We start from the raw sequence: 16,332 nt of genomic DNA, 5'->3' as shown, positions 1-16,332 counted from the left end.
TAGGGAGGTGGAAAAACATGATGGTGTTTCTTGAGCAAGTTTTCTGAATCTGTATGGCATATGCCCCTTTTGCCTAGTACTTTTATTCTGAAAGAGTTTTGAAACACTTAAGAAACAACCAAACAAATAAGCAATCTATATAATTAGAGCTGTCAATGCATGTTCATCTCCCTTTATTCCTAACAGTTAGTTTCCTTTCACTTTTTGTCACAGAGACCATCATGGTATTTAGATTTCCATTTTTGTGCAGGGAAGTAAATAATTGCAGAAGAATAAAATGTCGAATCAGCAAATGTGGTGAAGTAGGGTAGGTGGCATGAGGATTGGGCCAAGGGAGTAGAATTATCTCCATGGGGTGGCTTCAGTTCCCCTCCCTCATGGGTAGATACCCCAATCTTGATTGAATTAACATGTATATTAGAATCCAGCAAATAGATGTTTGAGCACATATGAGCCATATAAAATCCTTCACAGCTGGCCAAGTAGGTGTACCTTTCTTTGGTGTTCAAAGAAAGCTTGATAATTTCTGCCTGGGCGTGCAGCCCTTAGTAGAAAAAGCATGCTAGACTTGGTGAGTAGGTGGTTGCCTACAAAGTCTTATTTCAGGAGTCTCCCAAAATATTCTTCAACATCTGTTCACTGATATTTCAAATTCCAGTAATACAGACAAAACCTTTCCATCTAAATTAGAGAGACTTAAAATACAAATGCAAGTGATAGGATAAAAGTAATAATAGCCAATATATAGCATTTATTATGAGTAAGACACTCCTTCAAGCATTTTATTTTATTATTAGTTTTTTTTTAGAGACAGGGTCTTACTCTGTCACCCAGGCTGGAGTGCAGTGATATGATCAGAACTCACTGCAGCCTCAAACTCCTGGGCTCAAGAGATCCTTCCTCTGCAGACTTTCAAGTAGCTAGGGCTATAGGCATGCAGCACTATACCCAGCTAATTTTAAAATTTTTTGGACAGACAGAGTTTCGCTATGTTGCCCAAGCTGGTCTCAAACTCCTTGCCTCAAGCGATCCTCCACGTCGGCTTCTCAAAGCACTGGAATTATAGGCATAAACCACATGCCCAGCCTATCTATTCTAAGCAATTTTAAATGTGGTATATGTGACTGACATTTGGTTCTGCTGGAGAACAGGGTTTGATTAGGGCATGGAAAAGGAAATAATAGATTTGAGGTCTCTCTGCACTAAAAGTTTGAGGTATACCTCACCAGCCAAGTAGGGAAGACATCCAGGACAACCTGCTAAATTCCCAATTTTGCCTACAGCAGGTTCTAAGCATACTACACTCGAGGAAGAATTTAGTTCTGCTTACTCTTTGTCTTTCAAGCTTTGCCTCTTCTCTAGGTCTTTGTAAGATACAACCCAGGTTACCGTGTGTTACATGTGATAGCCTTCATGGTACGTCAAGGCTAAAGTTTTTGCTATAATGGGATCAAGGGATGATTTAGGAAAGGTAAGTAGGTCCTCTTTTATGATACCATTCTCAGTAGTCAGGGGCTATATTAATAATCTACTGTAAATCTGTTTGTTCCTGCCTTTTAATGTTTGATTTGCTTTTTTGAATGGTGGTTTGTTTCCTCACAAATATAGCTATTTGAATGGTTTAATTGCCTATTTGAGAAAAATCATAGACTCTTAAGACTGGAATTATTACAATGCCAGATGGGTGAACTTTTACTACAACCTGCTCACAAAGACAACCTTTTCCATTTCTTTTTCTAAATTATCAGTAAGGGCCTTCAGTAAATTATTCAAATGCCTTACAAAATATAGTAACTTCCTACTATCTCACTGAAACCTTTCCTGTTACATGTTAAGGGATTCCTTGTCTATCGTCAGTTTCAGAAACAGGGTAGCTATTTAACTGTCTCTCATTCTTCCCTCTTCATATATAGCTCTTGTCTTTCAAAAATATAAGATATATATGCCATTGTAAAAAAAAAATGGTGCTGTGAACTTCTTTTAAATTCGGAGGTCAGATGTGTGTGATGAAACTCATTTCTGCTATATCAACTGAAAAGGAAAACGTCACATTGAGGATGGAAGAACTAAGGAGTGAAGAAAGTTTTATTTTAGTTCACACAAATTCACTGTGGTTATTAAAGTTCTGCATAGATATATAATGAAAGGGAATCCCATTGTAGCATTTGTAATTTGAAATATCCAGTCTAACATTTGACTCAATCTTATATTATTCTCAAGCAAGAAATAATAATGGAATCCATCGGGTTTGGAGTTAAAGAATACAAATGATAACATTAATTTGGCTAATGCTCTACAACTTTCTAGACATATTTACCTTTTGTTATCTGTTTTTGGAGACCTGAGTGTGAGGGCCCACTCCACCACATACATGCTGTGTAGCCTTAAACAAGTTGCTTAAACTTTGAGCTTTAATAACTAATCGAAAAATGAGGCTAGGCATGTTGGCGCATTTCTGTAGTCCCAGCTACATGGGAGGCTGAGGTGGGAAAATCGCTTGAGCCCAGGATTTTGAGGCTGCAGTGAACCATGATCACACCACTGCACTCCAGCCTGGGTGACACAGCAAGACTTGTAACCCAGACTCACAAAAAAAAAAAAAAAAAGAGTAGTACAAGGTTTACCAACCTAAATCAGACGATTGATGAGAGACTCAAGTGAAATGGGAAGTCATATAATGGACATTCTGTAGGTTTATCTCCTTAACTAGATTAAAATGTTTCTGAGAGAGGGACTGTTTACTACTTATTTATCTTGGCCTAACGCAGTGTGGCTCATAGTAGACACTCAATAAAAACTTGTTAACTTTTATGGAATATTTACCCAATAGTTTTCTCCATAGGTGATTTTACTAATGAAGATGGTCATGTGTTATGAAAGATACTAACTTATAAATTCAAGGTCTTTTAAAGTTTTATTTATTTGCTTATTTTTGTTTTTGAGATGGGGTCCCACTTGGACTCCCAGGTTGAAGTGCAGTGGCATGATTCATATCTGTTGCAGCCTCAAACTCCTATGCTCAAGTGATCCTCCTGCCACAGCGTCCCGAAGTGTTGGAATTACATGTGTGAGCAACCGTGCCTTTTAAAGCTTTAAAGGCTCACTTTTTTTTTCTTTCTTTTTTTTTTTTTTTTAAAGACAGGGTCTTGCTCTGCCTTCCAGGCTGGAGTGCAGTGGTGAGATCACAGCTCACTTACAGCCCTGACCTCCCCAGCTCAAGCCATCCTCCCACTTCAGCATCCCAAGTAGCTGAGACTACAGACATGAGCCACCACACCCAGCTAATTTTTGCATATTTTTGTAGAGATGGGGTCTCACTATGTTGCCCAGGCTGGTCTAGAACTTCTGGGCTCAAGCAATCCGCCCACCTCAGGCTCCCAAAGTGCTGGGATTATGGGTGTAAGCCACTGTGCCTGACCTAGGCTCACTATTTGTGTGTGTGTGTGTGTGTGTGTGTGTGTGTGTTTGAGACAGTGTCTTGCTCTGTTGCCCAGGTTGGAGTGCAGTGGCGCAATCTCAGCTCACTGCAACCTCCGCCTCCCGGGTTCAAGTGATTCTCCTGCCTCAGCCTCCTGAATAGCTGGGATTACAGGCGTGTGCCATGACACTTGGCTCGGCTAATTTTCGTATTTTTAGTACAGACGGGGTTTCACCATGTTGGTCAGGCTGTTCTCAAACTTCTGACCTCATGATCCTCCCGCCTAGCCTCCCAAAGGCTCACTATTAAACACAGGTACTTAGAAAAAATTTAGATAATCAGTATTGGCCATCTTCCCAAGGCAAGCCCAGCACGCTCTGTCACCCAGGCTGGAGTGCAGTAGTCTGATCTTGGCTCCTTGCAACCTCTGCCTCTTGGGTTCAAGCGATTCTCATGCCTCAGCCTCCCAAGTAGCTGGGATTACAGGCATGTGCCACCATGCCCGGATAATTTTTGTATTTTTAGTAGAGATGGTGTTTCACCATGTTGGTCAGGCTGGTCTTGAACTCCTGACCTCAGGTGATCTGCCCGCCTTGGCCCCCCAAAGTGCTGGGATTACAGGCATGAGCCACCACACCAAGCCCCTAGGTTATTTTTTAAACAATATTTTGATTTGAGGTTTGTGTTGGGGGGTGGAGAAGTAGCAAATGGTGATGGATTGTGTTGTTTTAAACATAACCTGGTAGGAAAATTCACTTAACTGAATTATCTTTACATTTGTAGGTTTGTTTTCCAAACACAAGGACATTTCTGTTTTTATTCTAAGGTCTGTTTTTCTTCATGGATAAAGAAGAAACCTGTATCACAAAATGTTTTACATTTTTATATTGAGATAGGACACCGAATTCTATTTTGGGAAGAGATTCCACTTCTTTAAAATCTTGTGTTATTTCAGTATTGATTTTTCTTTTCCTTTTTGTTTTTTTTTTGGAGACAGAGTCTCGCTCTGTCGCTCAGGCTGGAGTGCAGTGTCATGATCTTGGCTCACTGCAACCTCCACCTTCTGGTTCAAGCAATTCTGGTGCCTCAGTCTTCTAAATAGCTGGGACTACAGGTGCACATCACCATGCCCAACTAATTTTTTTATTTTTTATTTTTAGTAGAGACGAAGTTTCACCATGTTGGCCAGGCTGGTCTTGAACTCCTGACCTCAAGTGATCCACCTGCCTCGGCCTCCCAAAGTTCTAAGATTACAGGTGTGAGTCACCGTGCCTGGCCTGATTTTTTTTTTCAATAAATCTGTGTAATAAACCCTTAACTGTGAATCTAAGCACAGGGCTTAATATTTCAGCCATGGTGAAATGCATACTGAAAAGCAAGGGAGGACCGACATAAAGTGACTCATGTCAGAATGCAAACTCCCTGAGGACAGGAGCTTTGTCATGATCTATCTACAGAACCAGGAATATTTGTTGAATGAATGAATGTTGGGTCTGTCTCCCTTTACTATTGTGCTTGTAGCTCAAAAGTATTTCCACTGATGGTACAGAAATCCTTCTTTGGAAACTGGATCTCATGTTCATTATGACTGGCTGGTTCAGGAGTAATTGGCATAAAGTTTATGGGGGTATCGTTTGGATTTGTGTCCTTTGTGTAGCTTTTGGTGCTCCAGAGAGAGGAGGCCAGTTTTGGAGAAAATTTGCTCATGGATAACTTGGGAGGACGCTCTGATTTCTCTACTACTTTCTTTCAAAAATATAATTAATCATGAGTTCAGATGGAAACAAAGACTCTTCCTTTTGGCTCAGGGCTGAATTGTAGCAAAGAGATTTTGAAGAGTTATTACCTGGGGAAACTAAGAGTTTGTTGCAGAAGCTGCAGTGCCAGCCTCATTTTCTGCAATACACTTGAACTCCTCAGAGTCTTCAGGAAATGCTTCTGTGATAATCAAGGTGCAGACTTCCTGTGGAAAGAGAAGAAATTCAACTTGATTACTGTATTTGGATGCCCCAAGGTAACAAACATATAGTGTGGGAGGATGTTGGGGAGAGTAGGTACTAGGAATAAATAGATTATTCCTGAGATTAAAAAAAAAATCCATCTGATTAGGTATTTTCTCTTCTCAGTGGGCTCATAAAGATAAATCTTAAAAATACAACCCCATTGGCTGGGCGCAGTGGCTCATGCCTGTAATCCCAGCACTTTGGGAGGCCAAGGCAGCAGATCACCTGAGGTCAGAAGTTTGAGACCAGCCTGGCCAGCATGGCGAAACCCTGTCTCTACTAAAAAATTAGAAAAATTAGCCAGGTGTGGTGGCGGGCACCTGTAGTTCCAGCTAATCAGGAGGCTGAGGCAGGAGAATCATTTGAACCCAGGAGGTGGAGATTGTAGTGAGCTGAGATCGTGCCACTGCACTCCAGACTGGGCGACAGAGCCAGACTACATCTCAAAAAACAAAACAAAACAAAAAACCCCATTAATTGTACATTTCAAAATAGCTAGAAGAGAATAATTTGAATGTTTCTAGTGTAAAGAAAAGTAATTTAGGTGATGCATATCTCATTTACCCTGATTTCATTATATGAATATATTATTACATATACCTTGAAAATATGTACCTCTAATATATATCAATAAAATTAAAAAAAAGTCTTAAACAGTCCCATCATGGTTCTTATCAACTGCCTCTTAGACATGTTTGTTTTCTCTACTAGACTATGAAATCCTTGAAAGCAGGGATTACATTTTATTCCTTGATTTCTAGATTTCTGTAGCTTTAGTCCTATGGAAACATATTCTGAACTGAACTAGAAATTATCACTACCATCACGCTTAGACCTCATGTTAATACAGAGATGGCCACAGTGTGATGGTCACCACAACTACTTCTTGGACAGTGAGCAGTTTGGATGTTCGATGTCAGGACATCTCCTTATTGCTTCTGTATAAAGTTCACGAGTCACAAATCCTAAACCAAGTGGGATTACAGGGAGAATGCATATTCTTTGAGAGTGGGGACCTTGTCAGTCTGGTTCATTGCTGTCTCCTTAATACCAAGAACAGAGACTAACCATTAGTCTGTACTCAGTAAACCTATGTTGAATGAATAAATATATGAATAAAAACACTGATAAATCCCAGCTGTCTTGCTTCTTCTGTTGTGTCAGTTCAAGAGTTGATGTAGGGGAGCCTCAAAAGAGCTCATGAAGGCAAGAGTGACTTAGGGGACAATGTCTTCTGATGCTAATGTTGATTTAATCAATTTTCAAGATTTTAAGAAATTATACTTACCAGGAATGGATGATAAACTTCTGAAAGATAAAACAAGAAAAAAGAGAGAGAATTTAAGTGATGATAATTTAGTTGGGAGAAGGGGCCATATGTATATGAGAAATACCTGGAAACAAATACAAAATTGACTAATCTGGAGTCACAGACGGTAAGTAAATTCTTCAGAAACTCAGAAAAGGTGCATAAAGGAATGAATAAGTGGCAGGGTAGAAGAACTTGATTTTAGTTCTGCTTTTATCACTAAATTGCTCTGTGACCTTGTGAAAATTACTTTACTTACCCAGACTTTCTTCATCCCTAATGTGAAGATTAGACCAGATGACTATATCTTCTCTGAATATGAACCACTGTTGAACACACTAATACTGAGGTGGCCTTTTTCACCGAAGAGAATCATTTTTTCCTAATTTCTCTGATTAAAATAAAATGGAATATTACATTATAAAAATACTGTAGCATTACTGTAGAAAAATACATGAAAGGTTAATAATGGTTTTCTCTATTTTTAATTTTTTCATGTTATGTATTTTCCAGGTTTATTACAAATTTGTATTACTTTATTTTCAACAATGCAATAAATGTTATTTTAACAGAAATATCATATCCTTTGTGTAATAAAAAGATTTTTTCCCTATATATGATGTGTAAATATTTAGTTATTTTGAATTAATATTTAAATGAGTATATTTTCTTCATTTGGCGTAAGAACTATCTTGGATTTGAACACTGGCTACAGCATTTACTAGCCTTGTGTCCTTGAGCAAGATTTTTTTGTATTTCTAATTTCAGTTATTTAACAATGAGGATAATAACACATATTTCAAAATGTTTATGTGAGGATTAAATGAGAAATTGTTTATAAAGTATAAATTCATTGTTTAGCATGAGATAGATCATTATACTTACTACCTTTCTCCAAATTAATTATCTTGTAGGAAAATTACCCAATAAAGTAAAAAGTTATGCATCAGTTTTTTTATGTTTTTACCCTTTAAGAAATATGTTTATTCTCATATTTCTTTTTGTTTATATGTCAAGAACTCATTATGAAAATAAGATTAATTTATGATGATAAACCAATCTTTTCACAGCTATGAAAATTACTCTTTCATCAAAACAGTTTTCTTTGTTGGTTATTGTTGAGAAATCATTTGGATTTGAGATAATAATTGTTTACCAGCACAAATCTTTAAGCCTTTAAAAAAAATCAGCAATTAAACTTTAAAACAGGAAGTAGACTTCAAGGTTAACTGGAATTAAAAACAATTGAAAGGCTTATCATGATACTTTTCCTCAGAATCCGAAAGTCATCTGAGTTGGCTATCTGCACGTTCTCTCTGTACCAGTGAACTTGAACTGTGGCTGTGGCCTGGATTCCGCATTCAAACATGACCAACTGACCTCTGGTTGTAGGGATGTCTTGAAGATGCTGAAGAACAAACACAGAGTTCAGAGGATGGAAGAAACTGTTATACCATCTACAATGATTTGAAATGCCATTTGCAGTAAGAGTGCATCTTTTTTTAAATCATAATTATTGACAGCTGACTGTATCTTAAGGCGCTGTCGGGCATTCTTTTGGGCTTTGTAGTGTGCTTTACAGTCAGGTGTAAATTATTTTTATCTTCATAGAATTATATTTAATGAGAAAGTTATTATTTCACTTGGCCAAGAGCCATTTTATTCAAATTAGAAAACAGATTGGTTGAACACTCCTTCTGTTGTTATATTTATTTTGTTGAGTACATATCTAGTCACAGATTTAGTCTTTATTATTGGTCACAGTAGCATGGGCAGTACAGTAATCACCCCTTATCTGCAGGGGACACATTCCAAGACCCTCAGTGGATGCCCGAGACCATGGATAGTACTGAAACCTGTGTACACTGTGTTTTTTCCTGTAATACACACCTATGATAAAGTTTAATTTATAAATTAGTCATAGTAAGAGATTAACAACAATAACTAATAAAATAGAACAATTATACCAGTATACTGTAATAAGAGTTATGTGAATGTGTTCTCTCTCTCTCTCTTTCTCTTAAAATATCTTATTATACTCTACTCATCTATTTTCAGACTGCAGTTGACCGTGGGTTATTGAAACCACAGAAAGTGAAACTGGATAACGAAGTGAGTACTATGTTGTAATTTCTTAAGAGCCCTGAATTAGGGAACTTGGGCCAAAATATTAACTCTGCCACTGGCTGATTGAAGCTGGTTATAGGAACTTGGAAAAGACTATTAACTTCTCTGGAACTCAGGTTCTTTGTCTATGAAATAGGGCTAGCAAAATATGTGGGGTTTTGAGGTTCATTTCACAAAGGTCTGAAAACTTCCTGTAAAGAGTAAGAGTTATACAGATATATAAAAAGTGTTTTTAGCTAGTTTAGTATCACAATGTATAAATGAATGGATGGCATTTATGTTAAATTTACCCCTTAAATCCTGATCTTTCTCCTCCCTCTACCTGCAACCCCAGAGTACCCTGGAATCTAGAATGATATTTCAGATTATAACTTGGCAGTGAGACCAGAGAGCGGGAATCTGAGGTCTTTCTACAGGTTAGACTAAGGACCAGCCTAACCCTCAGGCTTGATGCCCAGAGGTCTCAGGCATCTTATAGGGAAGGAATGCAGCAGGAGAGACTTGTAGAAATAACAGACATGTACGTGACAGCATCTGTTGAAAACAAGCTTCCAGAATCAATAGCAATGTCACTTACTCTTAATGACATTGTTTTGTTTGTCTCCCATCCTGTATCTGGTACAGATTAAATCCCTGCCCTGCATTTCATACTTTGAGCCAGCAATGGGCATTGATTCCAATTCTGCCAGGTTTGGTAATTGGGAGACAGAGAGCCCAGAGAAGGCTTAGCCCTAGTTTTGGTTTGACCGGGGTGATTGAATTGTGCTATTTCCAGTGGGTGAGAGGGAAGATAGTGATTCCTGGCTGTGACCTAATCAGGACTTAGTTACTACTTTGCTTGTTGACTTCTTCAGAATGGCATTTTATGGCTAGTTAAGAGAATTTGACTATATTTTGAGGTCAGGCAAAGCAGTCTCCTTGGAGGGGACAGTCTAAGCATTGCCCTCCAGAGGTGGAGGACGGCCACAGAGCAGAAGTCTAAAGAGCACAGGGTAAACCATGAATTGCTCTGTGACACTGAGCAAATCATTTCACCCCTTTTCAGCCTCATTTTTTCTCATATATAACGTGATAATAATCTCTGAAATCCTTTCTGATTTCCCCTTTTTTTCTTCTCACCGCTTCACTAATGTCTAAAACTTACTTATAAAATCTAAACTCCATCATGCAGTATGGAGAGGTTACCTTGGTAAACACAGAGGGTACTACACAAGTGGATCCTGACAGGCTGCTGCAGGGACTCTGCATCTGGTTTAAGGAATAAAAGAGAACATGGTGCTGTCACTCATACTGTCAAAGCCCTGAAACTCAGGTCCATGGTTGCCAGAAACTGACGGGCTCAGTTCTAGCTGCTACTGACCACACCTTAACTTTCCTTTATGAAAAGCATGATGCTTCTAATTTCAGTGTCAGTTTGGGTATTTGCTCCAGTGTGCTACACTTGCTTCTTTATCCTTCAGCATTCCATTAGCTGAGATGGAGAAATACAACACTGGGCAATTATATTTGGGAAATGCATATTGGCAAGTATTTAGATACTATATATTAAACATTTAAAAAAAGTTTAAATTTTACTAAATTTTTTTTCTTCCTCCATACAATTGCTCTTCTTGGATCTTTTAGATTTCCAAAAAAGCATCTCCCTCCCCCGCTTTTTTTTTAAATTAAAAGGGAATTCATTCCTCGGATAGTTGGAATATTCTCTTATGGGAACAAGTTCCTAGAAACCAACTGTCCCTTATCTGGCACACAAACAAAGGGCCAAGCCATAGAGCTACCATGGAGTTATTTCTGAAACCTATGGATTTCTTTCTTGTTCTTTTGAGTTCATGCAGCTAGAGGCTTTCTTCTTGTATACTTCTTAAGAAAACTGCATTGACTCCTTTTTCTTGGGCCTATGTCTCCATTACTAAGACCCTCTCAGAAGGCTTAAAACTGAACTTACCCTCTAGGGATTAATATACAGTTGTTGAACTAAGTTAGAGTAACTTGATCTGTTGTTGGAGGTTTCATTCGTTGGGGAGCTGATGGTCAGAGAAACTCTAGTGGTTTTCTTCTTTATCCTGTGGGGGAAACAAAACCAAACACCGTCAAGTGAAAGAAAGATTAGAGGCGACTTTGATAGAAATGCCTCACTGTATACACATTTGAATGTAGCACACATTTTTACCTATAATTCTTAAATTTCTCTACATTTGCATAATCATTTTAATACTTTTTTTGCCTTTTTAACCAATTATTAGTGGATTATGGTTCCTAATTGTTTCACTTTAAATTTCTTTTGTCTCAGTCTGGTAATCAGGGTGTGTTATGAAACACGTTGTCTAGAAGAAATAACCTATAAAGCAAATAATCACTTAAAAGTTTGTCTGCAAAGTCTTAGGTTTTTTTTTTTTTTTTGGTATTTTTTAAAGTGGAACTTTCACTATATTCACACGCAACAAATGCACATCCACATGAGATTCTGCACTTACCCTGAAATTTCTGTAGCACATTTCAACCACAATTCCAGAGATAAAACTTCCTTACTTCCCTGAGCACCTGCAAGAAAGAGAAAAAATAGATTTGTTCTAAATCTCATTGGGTTTTAATACAATTTAGTTCCAGTGTATTGTATTTACACTCGGACTAGCAGCAGGTATCGGTTACAGACAGGTTAATCCAGAACATCTGGATTCTTTTTATTTTATTTTATTTTTATTATTTTTTTCTTTTTAGATGGAGTCTCGCTTTGTTGCCCAGGCTTGAGTGCAGTGGTGTAATCCTGGCACACTGCAACCTCTACCTTCCGGGTTCAAGCGATCCTCCCACGTCAGCCTCCTGAGTAGCTGGGACTACAGGCTGCACCACCATGTCTGGCTAATTTTTGTATTTTTAGTAGAGATGGGGTTTCACCATGTTGGTCAGGCTGGTCTTGAATTCCTGACCTCACATGATCTGCTGCCTCAGCCTCCCAAAATGCTGGGATTATAGGTGTGAGCCACCATGCCCTGCCCAGAACAACTGAATTCTTAACTCAGGATGGAACTACTTTAGCATTCTCCATTTTAGAAATCCAGATGTTTACCTTTATAGAGTTATAGCACTTGTGCCCAGAGGAGGTATTGAGTCATTTCTCAAAAACATTATTTCAGAGGGCATAAATTAGTATCTGTGAATTTGTGTTTTGGTCTGAAGTCTTCAGAATATTTGTTATAGTAAGAAATATATTGAAACACATTGCTATGCTTACTATAAGGAAGGATGTTATCTTAGTCTGTTCAGGCTTGCTATGATACCCTTTAAAATACCTTACTGGGTAATTTGTAAACAATAGAAATTTATTGCTCACAGTTCTGGAGGCTGAGAAGTCCAAGACCAAGGCACCAGCAGATTTAGTATTTGGTGAGAGCTGTCTCCTTCGTAAATGGTGCCTTGTTGCTGTGACCTCACATGGTAGAAGGGGCAAGGGAATTCCCTCAAGTCTCTTTTATAAGGATACTAATCCCATTCATGAGAGTGGAGTCCTCATGACTTAATCACTTCCCAAAGGCCCCAGTTCTTAATGCTATCACATTTGAATATTAGGTTTCAACATGTGAATTTTGGGGGGACGTCAGCATTTGGACCATAGCAGATGTTGTCAGTGTTCCTATTATCTCCATGATGATTTACTAGAGAAATGTATTTCAGTTGTTAGTACCAGGAATAATTGAGCGTCTCCCACGATACTAGTTTAATTTTTCCTCATAGACACTATTAGTCTTAATATTGGTTGTGTTGCTGTGTTAGCTAACTGAAAGTTTAGAGCTCACCTCAGAGCCAGTAATTTTTTAATTTAAAATTTTATTTTCATTAAATTGAATTTATATCTAAATATTCATTTTCAGTTTAGGAAAACTTCTAAGTGTGTTTAGAACAGTCTAGGTATATGAATCTACTTTTTATAAATTGCATACAATTTAAATACATGAAGTATTTTAAATGAAAATTTAGCAACTAAATTCCAATGTTTTAATGCAAAATACAGTTTTAAAGACTAAGTACCAAAAAAGGTAAAATTATTATTATTATTCTTATTGTTGAGATGGAGTCTTGCTCTGTTGCCCAATCTGAAGTGCAGTGATGCGATCTCTGCCCACTGCAACCTCTGCCTCCTGGGTTCAAGCGATTCTCCTGCCTTAGCATCCTGAGTAGCTGGCATTACAGGTGTGCCACCACACGCAGCTAATTTTTTTTTTTTTTTTTTGTATTTTTTGTAGAGAAGGGGTTTCACCATGTTGGCCAGGCTGGTCTCAAACTCCTGACCTCAAGTGATCTTCCTGTCTCAGTCTCCCAAAGTGCTGGGATTACAGGCATGAGCCACTATGCCCGGCTGCAAAATGAATTTTTATATTGATTGCACGTTGAAATGATAATCTTTTATATATGTTGTGTTAAAACATATTATTAAAATTAATTTTACCTGTTCCTTTTTGTAATTTTAGTGTTACCATTAGAAAATTTAAAATTATATATTTGCTGTTCTCTTTTCTGATAGGCATTATATTTTTATTAGATGGCACCATTCTGAACCATGAGCTTTCCTAAAGGGTTAATAAAACTTTCTCAATATCTTCTAAAGTGACTGGTTCATTCAGTTTTTCTGTCTCTCCAGAATAAACTTCCATCATTTATATTTTCCTCAAAAATTCTTTTTTTCAAATATATTTTCTTTTTTTTATTTCCAAGTTTTATTTTAAGTTCTGGGGTACATGTACAAGATGTGTAGGTTTGTTACATAGGTAAACATGTGCCATGGTGGTTTGCTGCACAGATCATTCCATCACCTAGGTATTAGGCCCAGCATCGATTAGCTGTTCTTCCTGATGCTCTCCCTCCTCCCACCCCTCATTCTCCAACAGGCCCTAGTGTGTGTTGTTACCCTCAGTGTGTCCATGTGTTCTCATCATTCAGCTCCCACTTATAAGTGAGAACATGTGGTATTTGGTTTTCTGTTCCTGCATTAGTTTGCTGAGGATAATGGCTTCCAGCTCCATCAATGTCCCTGCAAAGGACATGATCTTGTTCCTTTTTATGGCTGCATAGTATTCCATGGTGTATATGTACCACATTTTCTTTATCCAGTCTATTATTGGTGGGCATTTAGGTTGATTCCATGTCTTTGCTATTGTGAATAGTGCTGCAATGAATATACATGTGCATGTATCTTTATAATAGAATGATTTATATTCCTTTGGGTATATACCCAGTAATGGGGTGGCTGGGTCAAATGGTATTTCTGCCTCTAGGTCTTTGAAGAATTGCTACACTGTCTTCCACAGTGGTTGAACAATTTACACTTCCACTAACAGTGTAAAAGCATTCTTTTTTCTCCACAACCTCGCTAGCAGGTTCTCTATTCTGTTCCATTGGTATATCTGTCTGTTCTTGTACCATACCATGCTGTTTTGGTTACTGTAGCCTTGTAGTGTAATTGGAAGTTGGGTAGTGTGATACCTCCAGCTTTATTCTTCTTGCTTAGGATTGTCTTTGGTATTTGGGCTCTTTTTGGGTTTCATATGAATTTTTAAATTTTTTTTTTCTAATTTTGTGAAGAATGTCAATGGTAGTTTAATGGGAATAGCATTGAATCTATAAATTGCTTTGGGCAGTATGGCCATTTTTACATATTGATTCTTCCTATCCATGAGAATGGAATATTTTTCCATTCGTTTGTGTCCTTTCTGATTTCTTTGAGCAGTGGTTTGGAGTTCTCCTTGAATACGCCCTTCACTTCCCATTAGTTGTCTTCCTAGGTATTTTATTCTTTTTGTGGCAGTCGTGAATAGGATTTCATTCATGATTTGGCTCTTACAGAGCCAATAATTCAATAGACATTAGAGTTAGGATCTCCTAAACTTGTGGCCTGATACTTTTTTTACACTATGATGATTTATTTCCTCAAACCAACATTTAGGTCACATGGCCCCACAAAGAACTTTTATATTATTTCCATGTAGGAGAGGTCGATTGGAAGATGTAGATTAGCCTAAATAACAAAATATGGTAATTTCCAGAAAGTCATTGGTTTATGGAAATAGAATATCTAAAACTAACTATTCGAGAAAATTTAGGTCATAAGTTTGCATTACACAACAATGCTTTAATGAAAAAAAATTGGTTCCCACTTAAAAGTCTTTTATATATAGTGTTTGATACCATTATTAGAACTAGATTTATCTAATCTCCTCCTAATCTCAATATATAATCTCTTAATACTTGGTGGCTCTTTTCAGTCTTTAAAAACCCTTTATCATCTTGAAGTTGTATTACCGTATCAGGCTTAATTTGCTTTAGACTAAAACTTAGGTGATGTAAAAAGATTTACTAATGCTACTTCATGTTTTATTTGTTAAGGTAGATAGTGGGTATAGAATGTACCTTTTATTATTATTTAAACTGTACATATATATTATATTAACTCTTTCCTATGTATGTAGTATTTTATAATAAATTCATAAGATTAAAATAAATCTGTGAACTGAAGCTGCCTTTTGTTTTTGTAAGAGTTAATTTTTTCATTTTCTTCTTCTTCTTCTTTTTTTTTTTTTTTTTGAGATGGTGTCTCGCTCTGTTGCCCAGGCTGGAGTGCAGTGGTGTGATCTTGGCTCACTGCAACTTCTGCCTCCTTGGTTCAAGCTATTTTCCTGCTTTAGCCTCCTGAGTAACTGGGATTACAGGCATGTGCCACCATGCTTGGTGAATTTTTTTGTATTTTTAGTAGAGACAGGGTTTCACCAAGTTGATTGGGCTGGTCTTGAACTCCTGACCTCAGGTGATCCACCTGCCTCAGCCTCCCAAAGTGCTGGGATTACAGATGTGAGCTACCATGCCTGGCCAGTTTTTTCATTTTCAAAGAACAGATAGTATTCTCAGTAGTTCAGAAGAAGATAAATTCAGTTCTGTGAACATGCATGAGATAGAGTATTATAAACATGCATAGATTACTTTTATGTCTAAAATTAGGCACAAACAGAAAGAACCTATATCTACATATTCTCTAAACAGGGTGGAATCAAACTTTGACATGCTAGCTGCATTTGCTTGACTTGGATCATTTTTCTAAAAATGAAAACTTCACAGTCAAACTCTTGCATTGGTGAATGCTTCCTCATGCCTTTTTTACTAAGACTCCAGGAACAACACAAAGGATTTTGGAGTTAACTGACACAATTAAATTATATGAGAAGGTCAGTAGTGCAAAAGATGAATAATAATATAGGTTCATCTTAATAATATCATAAGACATAAGAAACATTAATGTCATAAGACATTAAATCATGCCAGTGACATCACAAGACAGTGCATGATGACCTGGAAGGCTTTGAGAAGTAAGTGCTAGAAATAAGGAGAAAGAAGCTTGATTGGTCTAAGAAGGTCAGTGTGGACCTTCAACTGAATTTTGAAGAATGTTTAGAATGAGGTATGTATGTGAGATGAGGGTTGAGGGTGAA

At 37.5% G+C, this 16,332-nt stretch overlaps 2 long non-coding RNA genes across 3 annotated transcripts in view, besides 3 other annotated features; one reads left to right on the top strand and one right to left on the bottom strand.

Moving 5' to 3' along the window:
- Positions 1 to 13,459, top strand: part of PKD2L2-DT (PKD2L2 divergent transcript) — a 35,509-nt gene extending 22,050 nt beyond the window's left edge. For both annotated transcript variants that reach the window (XR_948815.3, XR_007058950.1), the window contains 2 exons: positions 8,007 to 8,214; positions 8,789 to 13,459. This is a non-coding gene — a long non-coding RNA (PKD2L2 divergent transcript). The remainder of the gene's footprint in view (positions 1 to 8,006; positions 8,215 to 8,788) is intronic.
- Positions 3,180 to 3,346: a silencer, noted in NCBI's record as "fragment chr5:137199613-137199779 (GRCh37/hg19 assembly coordinates)". NCBI's record gives its function as "represses an EF-1alpha promoter that drives an FKBP-Casp9 reporter gene in an ReSE screen in HepG2 liver carcinoma cells {active_cell/tissue: HepG2}" and the evidence as "EXISTENCE:reporter gene assay evidence [ECO:0000049][PMID:32094911]".
- LOC107986368 (uncharacterized) lies at positions 4,656 to 11,408 on the bottom strand. The gene is made up of 7 exons (XR_007058951.1): positions 11,332 to 11,408; positions 10,803 to 10,920; positions 10,043 to 10,105; positions 8,053 to 8,138; positions 6,990 to 7,121; positions 6,710 to 6,729; positions 4,656 to 5,381 (listed from the first exon to the last, which is right to left on the bottom strand). It is a non-coding gene; the product is annotated as an uncharacterized LOC107986368 (long non-coding RNA).
- Positions 8,778 to 8,827: an enhancer, noted in NCBI's record as "active region_23189". NCBI's record gives its function as "activates an Ori minimal core promoter by ATAC-STARR-seq in GM12878 lymphoblastoid cells {active_cell/tissue: GM12878}" and the evidence as "EXISTENCE:reporter gene assay evidence [ECO:0000049][PMID:35858748]".
- Positions 8,858 to 8,937: an enhancer, noted in NCBI's record as "active region_23188". NCBI's record gives its function as "activates an Ori minimal core promoter by ATAC-STARR-seq in GM12878 lymphoblastoid cells {active_cell/tissue: GM12878}" and the evidence as "EXISTENCE:reporter gene assay evidence [ECO:0000049][PMID:35858748]".
- Positions 13,460 to 16,332: the final 2,873 nt, after the last annotated feature.

This window comes from Homo sapiens, chromosome 5 (genome assembly GCF_000001405.40).
Source record: "Homo sapiens chromosome 5, GRCh38.p14 Primary Assembly".
NCBI classification, from domain to species: domain Eukaryota; kingdom Metazoa; phylum Chordata; class Mammalia; order Primates; family Hominidae; genus Homo; species Homo sapiens.
This window is presented reverse-complemented; position numbering and strand designations above follow the sequence as displayed.